The 10269-nt window shown below is 50.7% G+C and overlaps 1 protein-coding gene across 1 annotated transcript, besides 1 other annotated feature; it reads right to left on the bottom strand.

The window, feature by feature from the left end:
* GOLGA6L6 (golgin A6 family like 6 (gene/pseudogene)) lies at positions 68-10012 on the bottom strand. Its single transcript, NM_001145004.2, has 9 exons — positions 9760-10012; positions 7985-8113; positions 6848-6898; positions 6666-6759; positions 6464-6570; positions 5026-5084; positions 4554-4695; positions 2471-3901; positions 68-1814 (listed from the first exon to the last, which is right to left on the bottom strand). Exons 1-8 carry the CDS (start codon positions 9919-9921, stop codon positions 2471-2473), a joined length of 2175 nt encoding a protein of 724 aa, NP_001138476.2. The 5' UTR covers positions 9922-10012; the 3' UTR covers positions 68-1814.
* Positions 1583-2084: an enhancer, noted in NCBI's record as "H3K4me1 hESC enhancer chr15:20738609-20739110 (GRCh37/hg19 assembly coordinates)". NCBI's record gives its function as "activates a minimal SCP1, AML or CMV promoter by ChIP-STARR-seq in primed H9 embryonic stem cells {active_cell/tissue: H9 hESC(primed)}" and the evidence as "EXISTENCE:reporter gene assay evidence [ECO:0000049][PMID:30033119]".
* Positions 10013-10269: the final 257 nt, after the last annotated feature.

The raw sequence follows: 10269 nt of genomic DNA on the forward strand, positions 1-10269 counted from the left end.
GGGTGAACCGGCAGGCGAGTTACATTTCTGAAAGCCTGGGAATACAGTAAATATTAGGCTGTGGGCTGCTGGGCCAGGAAGAGTTGTTTATTTTTCAGGGTTTGTTTATCTATTGACTTGATGAGGGAGGGTTATAGGTACAACCAGTTTAAAGATGGAAATTTTGAGAGAGCAGGCAGGGATTTAGTGCTGGGTAAGCCTGGTCAAAGCGGCTCTTTTGGGGCGGCCAGAATCCAGTACCAATGTCCTCAGCATGTTCATCAGCTGCTGGGGGAGTGCGGGACAGCATGAAAGCACAGGAGAACTTTCTGGATGATAGAAATACTCTGTATCTTCAAAGGAGGTGGGTTCCATAGTAATGTTAAATGAGTTAAAACTCATCAAAATGTAAACCAGACCTGTGCATTTCACTAATAGAAATTATACCTCCAATTAAAAACATGTTTTAAAAGACAGATGGGCCAGATGCAGTGGCTCATACTTGTAATCCCAGCACTTTGGGAGGCTGAGGCAGGTAGATCACCTGAGTCAGGAGCTCGAGACCAGCCTGGAAAACATGGTGAAATCCTGCCTCTATTAAAGGTATAAAAAAAAATTAGCCAGGCATGGTGGCACACGCTACTCGGGAAGCTGAGGCAGGAGAATTGCTTGAACCCAGGAGGCAGAGGTTACAGTGAGCAGAGATCGTGCCATTGCACTAGAGCCTGGGCAACAGCGCAATACTCCATCTCAAAAACAACAAAAAAAGGACAGATGAAGGTTTTCAACTTTCAGTAAAGGCAGAGGAGCTTGTTACGGATTCGCCTCCCCACAAGAGCAGTTAGAAAAACTGGATAAAAATGTGCCCCGCCCCCAATCAAAAACAATTGTTGGAAGGTAATTGGAGACCTCAGTCAGGACTTGAGTGACCAGGCCTAGGAGGTGATCCTGACAGTCTGTAGTGCTTTCCCACATTTGGTGATTGGTCAACAGTAGAGGGCTAAGAGGCTAAGAAACTGAGTATGAAGTGGTAGTTAAGAGGCTGGAGAGCCTAGCTGAATGTTTGGCACTCTCACAGGGCTGAAATGACCTAATGAGAATTTGGGTCCCAGGAAGGAGATGGGACCTTGGTGGGGACCCTGGAAGGGCCACCCCTGGGAGTCCAAATGAATAAAACATAGACCAGCCATCAGAAAACCTAAAACCTGCTTTGAACCAGCTTAGTCCCAAAGTAGATGAAGGCGATCTGCCCTTACTCCAATTGTGTGCCATAAACTCAAAGTCAATACTCTCTGGAGGCAGATAAAAGTTTACTATGAATGTCAAAAGACAACACAAGACTAAATGAGAAAGACCAAGAAGAAAACTAATAGAAACATACATGTAAGGAAGAAACTTTTTTTTTTGAGACGGAGTTTCGCTCTGTCACCAGGCTTGAGTGCAGTGGCACGATCTCAGCTCACTGCAACCTCTGCCTCCCAGGTTCAAGCGATTCTCCTGCCTCAGCCTCCCAAGTAGCTGGGATTACAGGCATGCGCCACCATGCCCGGCTAATTTTTGTATTGGCCAGGCTGGTCTTGAACTCTTGACCTCAGGTCATCCATTTACCTCGGCCTCCCAAATTGCTAGGATTACAGGCGTGAGCTACCATGCCTGGCCAGTATTTTGCCACAATTTAAAATAAATAAAATTTTTTTTTCAGGTTTGTGCTCAGACTATATTCTAAACAGTCACATGGCGGCTTACTCTTCTCCAGGCCTTGCTGCCGGCTTTTACATGTTTATTGTCTTTGCCTTCTTGTCATGTGCTCATTAGATGGCAGCTTCCAGGTGCTCCTAAGGGGCCAGGAAAGAGAGTGAGAAGGCACGGAGGTTGCCAGATCATCCCCCTTGGGGCCCCGCCCTCATCAACTCCCTCAACCGGGTCTCCTGCAACTATTGGTGGGCCATCTCGGCCACCGCTTCGCCCTGAGCTTCCTGCTGCTGCAGCTGGGCAGTGCCTCCTTCTCAGAGGCCAGCTGCTGATAGGCGGCCACGTACTGCTGCAGGTGACCCAGGTAATGGTCTCGCTGCTGCTGCAGACTCAGCCTCTTGGCTCTTCAGCTCCACCTGCAGGATAGGCGTCAGGGTAGGTAGTGGCTGGCTTCCAGATTCTGGGCCCATAAACAGGGTAGTGAGGGCACTGCGGGGCTCTGTCGCCTACCCAGGCCCCTGGCCCTGGCCCCTTCCTCCAGGCCTAAATGACTGCCTCCCTTGCCTAGAGGCCCATGCCTCCCTCCCCAGCCTCAAATCTCACACCCTTCTTCCCACCATTTAAACTGTAGGCCACAGACTGGTGGAAAAGCAGAGGGAGCCAACCACCATCTGCTAAGTTGTGGTGAGGTCGTTCTGTATGATCTCCAGGGTTTGCACACACCTCCGCCTGCTCCCCCCAAGAGCTCGGCCTTCTGCCCCAGCTTCCCCAGCCTCTCCTCCAGCTCCTGCAGCCTCACCTAGTGTTCCTGCATCTTCTCCTCCTGCTGCCGCAGCCTCACTTCCTGCTCCCACATCTTCTCCTCCTGCCTCCGCATCTTCTCCTCCTGTTCTTGCATCTTCTCTTCCTGCTCACACATCTTCTCCTCCTGCTCCCACATCTTCTCTTCCTGTTCCTGCATCATCTCCTCCTGCTCTCGTATCTTCTCCTCCTGCTCCCGTATCTTCTTCTCCTGCTCCCTTATCTTCTCCTCCTGCCTCCACATCGTCTCCTCCTGTTCTTGCATCTTCTCTTCCTGCTCACACATCTTCTCCTCCTGCTCCCCCATCTTCTCTTCCTGTTCCTGCGTCATCTCCTCCTGCTCTCGTATCTTCTCCTCCTGCTCCCGTATCTTCTCCTCCTGCTCCCGTATCTTCTCCTCCTGCTCCCTTATCTTCTCCTCCTGCTTCCACATCTTCTCCTCCTGCTCCTGCCTCTTTTCCTCCTGCTCCCGTATCTTCTCCTCCTGCCTCCACACCTTCTCCTCCTGCTCCCGTATCTTCTCCTCCTGCCTCCACATCTTATCCTCCTGCTCCTGCCTCTTCTCCTCCTCCCATATCTTCTCCTGCTCATGCATCTTCTCTTCCTCCCTCCACATCTCCTCCTGCTCCCGTATCTTCTCCTCCTGCCTCCACATCTTCTCCTCCTGCTCCCGTATCTTCTCCTCCTGCTCCCGTATCTTCTCCTCCTGCCTCCACACCTTCTCCTCCTGCTTCCGTATCTTCTCCTCCTGCTCGTGCATCTTCTCCTTTTGCCTCCATATCTCCTCCTGCTCCCTTATCTTCTCCTCCTGCCTCCACATCTCCTCCTGCTCCTGCCTCTTCTCCTCCTCCCGTATCTTCTCCTGCTCATGAATCTTCTCCTCCTGCCTCCACATCTTTTTCTCCTGCTCCCGTATCTTCTCTTCCTGCTCCCGTATCTTCTCCTCCTGCCTCCACATCTTCGCCTCCTGCTCCTGCCTCTTCTCCTGCTCGCGTATCTTCTCCTCCTCCTGCCTCTTCTCTTCCTGCTCCCGTATCTTCTCCTGCTCGTGCATCTTCTCTTCCAGCTCCCGTATCTTCTCCTCCTTCTCCCACATCATCTCCTCCTGCCTCCGCATCTTCTCCTCCTTCTCCCACATCATCTCCTCCTGCCTCCGCATCTTCTCCTCCTTCTCCCACATCATCTCCTCCTGCCTCCGCATCTTCTCCTCCTGCTCCCGTATCTTCTCCTCCTGCTCCCGTATCTTCTCCTCCTGCTCCTGTATCTTCTCCTCCCACTCCTGTATCTTCTCCTCCTGCCTCCACATCTTCTCCTCCTGTTGCTGGTTCAGGCGGTTCCACAACTCGTTCTCTTCCACCTGGGCTTGGAGCTTTGCTGACACACTCTGCAGCTCCTTACCCAGGTGGTCAGCCTCCGCCTGCAGCTGCTGCTGGAATAGTGAAAGTGTTTTTTTGAACCTCAGAAGGAAGCAGAATCATGAGCTAGCCACATAAATGTAATCTATAGGCTGGGTGCGGTGGCTCACGCCTGTAATCCCAGCACTTTGGGAGGCCGAGGTGGGCGGATCACGAGGTCAGGAGATCGAGACCATCCTGGTTAACACAGTGAAACCCCGTCTCTACTAAAAATACAAAAAATTAGCTGGGTGTGGTGGTGGGCACCTGTAGTCCCAGCTACTTGGGAGGCTGAGGCAGGAGAATGGCGTGAAGCCGGGGGGTGGAGCTTGCAGTGAGCCGAGATTGCGCCACTGCACTCTGGCCTGGGTGACAGAGTGAGACTACTTCTCAAATAAATAAATAAATAAATAAATAAATAAATAAATGTAATCTATAAAATAATGGTTTTCATCCATGATCCTTTAAAAAAATATTTTTAAGCCCTAACTCTTGAGATTCTGATTCCCCAGGCAGGGCCCCAATTTGTACATTTTTAGTACACTCTAGAGGATTCTATGGCGGGACCAGAACAAGGACCCAAATTTTCCAGCTCTTGGCTGGAGCCTCCCCATACCCTGCATGATCCCTAGACCATGGTCCCAGCTGGATGGGTCTCCCACAACCCCCGGGGCTGCAGCTGCTCACCTGTGGCAGCAGGAGCTTGGCCCTCTCCAGTTTCCTTTTTAGCTCCTTTACGTTGAGCTGGATCTCAGACTTTTCAGATTCTACAAGTTGAAGTTTTTCTTGTAGTTCGGCATTTTTCTCCTTCAGCTCCTCATCAGTTATCCTATGGCCAGAGGCAGTAGAGAAAGGAATGAATGAAGAACATAAAAGACCACTTTGGTGATTGACCCCCTACCCTCGCCCCACAACCACAGAACCGTGGCGCTGGAAGGGACCCCAGGAATTAAAAGTCCCAGGTGGCAGGCCAGAGAGAAGACATGAGTTGCCTGAGGCTACCCCATGAGTCAGTGGCACAGCCAGCACTAGAGCTTCCGTGTGCACACATGAAAACATGTATGAGCCTCTCCCCACACTCACCTGGACCCCCCACCTCCCAGCACACCACCCATGCTAAGGGCCCCCAGACCTCCCATTCCACCTTCCCCCATCCTACGTGTTCCTGTACAGTTCCAGACTCAGGGCGTCCCTCTCCTTTGTTAACTCCTCAATGTACTGCAAATAGAGAAAGGTTAAGTCAGGATAGAGCAGGCACAGCAGTAGCTGGACGACCAGGAACAACTGCTACAGTGACTACTCCACAGTAACACTTCCTCACTCTCAATCACACCTGACATGTTCTCAAGGCATTTCCAAGCCCATGGTCTCATTTGTTTTTCTTTCTTTCTTTCTTTCTTTTTTTTTTTTTTTTTTGGCAGAGTTTCATTCTTGTTGCCCTCACTGGAGTGCAATGGCACAATCTCAGCTCACCACAACCTACACCTCCTGGGTTCAAGCAATTCTCCTGCCTCAGCTTCCCGAGTAGTTGGGATTACAGGCATGTGCCACCACACCGGGCTAATTTTGTATTTTTAGTAGAGACGGGGTTTCTTCGTGTTGGTCAGTCTAGTCTTGAACTCCTGACCGCAGGTGATCCGCCCACCTCAGCCTCCCAAAGTGCTGGCATTACAGGCGTGAGCGAGAGCACCTGGCCCTCATTTGTTTTTCAAAGAACTCAGTGAATGTGGAAGGGACAGGGAAAGAGATTGAATTTAGAGCTGGCTAACAGGGGCCCAGAGCGATCAGGTAATATTGTTATTGCTATTACTGTTAGTACTACCACTGTTCGAACCTTTCTTGAGTGCTTCACCAGGCACTATGCTAACAATCCCATTTAATCCTCACAACCTCCATAGGAGATGGTTACCATTATTACCTCTATTGTGTAGATGAAAAACATGCGGTATTAAAGGTTAAGTGCTGCCTAAGATCACTTGGAGCTGGGATTTCAACACCCAGGTATATCTGATTCTCTAAGCCCATTCTTCCGCTGGAGGTAGGGGCACAGTTAAGAAGGAGGAAATTAATCCTTTGTTGAATTTTTGAAAGGATGATACGTTCGCATAGTCCAAAACTCAGAAAGTCCAGAAGGGAAATATCTCCCCCCAACACTGTGCCTCTATCCTGAGTTTTTTAATGAATCCTTACAAACGTGTTTTATGTATGTTACCATAATACGTACACACACACACATATACACCTGCCCCCTCTCTCCACACAAATAATAACATACTCAAGATACTCTTCTGTACCTTTATGGTACAAGTACCCTAACCGCCACTTAGGACTTGGCCAAGGCCACAGCCAAGTATGGGCAGGGCGGGCACTTGGCCTCTGAGCTCTATGTCCAGTGCTCGCTCCCCACAGTGCTCCCCAACTCACCCACAACAGCCGACTCAGCCCCAGTCTGCCTCTAACAACCACACACAAAAGCAGCAAGAAATGGCCATGCTGCCTTCTGGGCAGGACACTCCATCCTACAGAAGGGACCTTTAGGCTCACTCCTCCATCTGCGAAGCTGGGCTCCCAAGGGACGGGGCCGTGTTTGGACTCACCCTATCTGCCTTCTTCTTCTGTGTAGCGACAGCAGAGAGAGCCTGCTCTAACTCTCCTGCAAACTTCCATGAATCATGCAGGCGGCTGATCAGATCCCTGGCCTCTCCTGGAATGAGAGACATTCAGATGTGGCCCAAAGGACTCCCCCTAAAGGCCTGTCAAAGTGCCAGGTTGAAGGATGATGGGGTGCCAGATTCCCACCTTCCAACTGCTTGACAGCATGCTGGCTGTAGTAGAGTGCCATCTGAAGCTCAGTTTTCTGACATGTAAGGATTCGTATGGTATGAACCTGGGCCTTTGGGAGAAAAGACAAGCAAATGCTGAAAGAGAAGCAAAGAAACATTCTCCAGAGGGCAGGAGGGAACTTCACACCCTCCACTCACCTCTAGCTCCCTCCTTAGGGCTTCCTGATGTTGATGGCTTGCCTTCTGTTCCTATAGAAAGAGGAAAACAGAGCTCTTGCTAGGTGGAGGCAGAGATGGCACAGCAAGAGACATGCCCCCAGAATGGCACCACTGCCCCAGAACAGGCCCACCCATGGGACCAGTTTATCAGGGACCCTGTGGGGATGGGGTGGAATCTTGGGGGTGAGCCTTCTTCCCCAGGCTGGGAGTGGGTGAGATGAGCCTGGGGCCTCTACATCTGAGTGCCCCCAAACCCAGCGGTCATGTCGTGAGCAAAGAAATCACACTACTTCTTCCAGCTGAGCTCAGTTCTATTGTTTCTGTGGGGAGAGTCAAAGGAAGGTGACTGAGGGTGGCCCCCTTGACTCTATTCCCCAGGCCAGGAAGCGATAGGCAGGGGCCAGGAATGGATTTAAAAGGCACAGTTCTCAGACCCAATGGGAACATGAACTGGTCAACTCTCCTCAACTCCCAAAGAAGAAGGATTTGGGTCTTTTTGGTTTTTGCCCACAGCCACAGAACTCAAAGTCTGAAACTAGATTCTCTTGAAAAGATACTAACAGAAACCTTCAGAGGTGGAGTGCGAGAAAAGCCCACCCTTCCGCCAGCTTGTGATTTAGAAAGGTGCATTCACTCAGCAAACGTTGAGCACATACGGGCCAGGGACGGTTCTTCACAGCGGGAATAGAGGTCAGAAAAGGCAGACAGGAGCCCTTGGCCCCGAGGTTTCCATTCTAGTGGGCCTTTAACTCTCGGGCTCTCAGAGCTAACAGAAACCTCTGATACTCTCTAACTCTACCTCAGGAAACGCAAGCCCAAGAAGGAGAGTTTACAGCAGGTCCTGGACGAGGGATTAACATAAAAACACAATGACAAATCTCATTTAAACTTCACAAACGTAAGGAAAACAATACCACTCGTATTTTACGGATGTGAAAAGAGAGGCCCAAAGAGCTCAAGCAATTTGCGCTAAATCATATCCCTAGCAGATGGAGGGGTAGGATTCAAACCCAGAATTCTTAGCCAGTACCTGGCAGTTCTTCCACAATCTTAACAATTACCCTCCACCACCCCTTGGGCCCTCTGTCCCCAGGAGCCCGGCCAGCCAAGACTCACATCCTCAGGCGAGTGGCAACCACCAGAAGTGGTTGTCTCAGGGTTAGTGCCATTATTTATTTTCTTCTTTTTGGTGTCGCTTGCTGCTGTACCAACACTAGGGTTGGTCTGGGGATGATGGTCTGTCAACTGTGGAAAGGAAGAGCAGTGATACTCATGAGAACTACAAGCTCCTACAGTCACATCCTGCTTTACAGTTTATACTAAATACTCTTATAGACCATCTGATTTAATGCCACCAACTGTAGGAAATGTTGTCACAATCACTTAGTGACTGAGAGAGATTGATACCATGGCTGAAAAAAAAGGCAGTAATGGAACTTAAACTCAGTCTTCTGACTCTGAGCTCTGGGATTTTGCCCTAAATCAGCAGCTGCCAGGGACCAAAACCAGAGGCAGAGGTAGAAAAGCAAATATTAAGTAGGCAGGAACTGTGCACTATGTGGTTTAGGGTTATTCACCCTCACACGTCTGTTAGTGTTAAAAAGTACACCAGTACCTCTCAAACCTTTACATCAATGTCTCCTCATGGCAGAAGGCAGCCTTTCTGCTAAATCTGGGAATTTAACAGAAAGAGGACAACCCAAGCCTCATTTCAGAGAGAAGTCTTGTATACGCTTATAAATCTATGTGACTTTCATCCCTAAGTACATTAATGTTTTGCCTCTCAATAGAATCAAGGGAAACTGATGCTTCAGAAAGATGCCCCATATTTATCCTGTGGCACTCAAAGTACCCCAGGTTGAGATGAGATGAGGAAGACTCAAGCTAAGTTCAGTTTCCCAAGATCTGTTCCACAGAAGATAAGCAGATCTCACTCCAGAACCAGTGACTGAGGGGCACTCTGGTCCCAGAACAATGGAGAATTCAAATCTGAGGTGCAGAACTGAGAAAAAATGTTAAAGTCTCTCTGGAGAGTAGAAGCCTGGGAGAAAACCAAACCAAACCCATTCTCCCATTGCCACCCAGAGACACTGTCAACGTGTTGAGCTCATGGGGGAGGTGTAGGCTTTTCACACTGTCAAGGTCTGTGGTAAGGAAGTCAGGCAGCCTGAAACCTCTCTCTTCTAGGTCCCACAGTCCCCATTCCCCTTCCAGCTGGAAACCTGTGCTGCAACCAGAGGAAACAGAAGTGGGCAAGAACACTTAGGGGACTGGGTCCTAAGACCAAAGGCCGGTCTTGTGGTAGTAATGACAGTTTGTAGCGGGACTGTGACATCACTACATTCTACTCCTCGGTGGAGTGGTTGGGGGGGACACATGAGTGCAATGCCCAAGTTGCCGCTTTGAGACTGGGGAGGGGGTCACAAAATTGGGAGCCAGGTCCTTGGAGACGTGACCCCAAAGAGCCCCGGGAGGTCAGGCTTGGGGCGGCAGGAGGTGAGGGCCAATTAAGGAGCAAGGAGCTCCAGGAGTCACATCCCCAAAGTCACCCTGTGGCAACTGGTGAGGGCAGGTTCTGGGGCACCCAGGTCCTTGGAGATGTGAGCTCAAGGAGCCCAGGGAGGTCGGGTTTGGGGTAGCAGGAGGTAAGGGCGGAGTATGGAGTTGGAAGCCCCAGGAGTCACCTGCTCAAAGTCACCCTGGTGTGCCGGGCAGAGCAGGGGCAGGACTTATGAGGGGGTTGGGCTGGCTGACAAGATTTTGGTGTGGGGAGCCCAGAGGCACTGGGGTGGGGGGCCCAGCCTGGTGTCCCTCAGGAGTGGCACAGACTCTGGCAGCAGTTCGGCTGTCAGAGGGGGCCTCGGGTTGGGTTGGGGTGTTGGTGCGTTTACCTGTTCCTTGGCCTCGGCCAATTTGCTCTGTCTGGTTTCTTTGGACATCATAGGATGGGTAGGGAGGTGGGGATGGGTAGGGAGGTGGGGATGGGTAGGGAGGTGGGGATGGGTAGGGAGGTGGGGATGGGTAGGGAGGTGGGGTTGGGGCCACATCAGCATGATCCAGGTGAGGACAAGTATATACCTCCAGTCACCTCTACGTCGCTGTGTGACTGAGCCAGAGGAGGCGTAACCAGGGCTGCACTAGAATGCAGAATAGGGGTGTGGCCTTCATGCTTGAAGCCCATTGGTCAATGAGAAAGATGAAAGGAAAAGGAGGTGTGGCCAGACAGCAGCGTGTCATGAAGGACCTGTGTTGTCACAAGGAAAGCTGCCTATGCAACCGCTGTCCCCGCCCACTCCAGGAGAGGGGCGGGGCTGGCTTTCACTTTAAAAACTTTAAAACTTTATTACCTCAATTGAGGTACAAGTCCTATTAAAATGGAAATTTTATAGTGTGCTTGATGA

This window comes from Homo sapiens, chromosome 15 (assembly GCF_000001405.40).
Source record: "Homo sapiens chromosome 15, GRCh38.p14 Primary Assembly".
NCBI classification, from domain to species: domain Eukaryota; kingdom Metazoa; phylum Chordata; class Mammalia; order Primates; family Hominidae; genus Homo; species Homo sapiens.

Coding starts and splice junctions, on each gene's coding strand:
- GOLGA6L6 (NM_001145004.2), bottom strand. CDS start 9,921: ATGCTGATGTGGCCCCAACCCCACCTCCCTACCCATCCCCACCTCCCT. Junction 6,571..6,665: donor TGCTGTCAAGCAGTTGGAAG/GTGGGAATCTGG, acceptor CTCTCATTCCAG/GAGAGGCCAGGGATCTGATC. Junction 5,085..6,463: donor AGAAGAAGAAGGCAGATAGG/GTGAGTCCAAAC, acceptor CTCTATTTGCAG/TACATTGAGGAGTTAACAAA.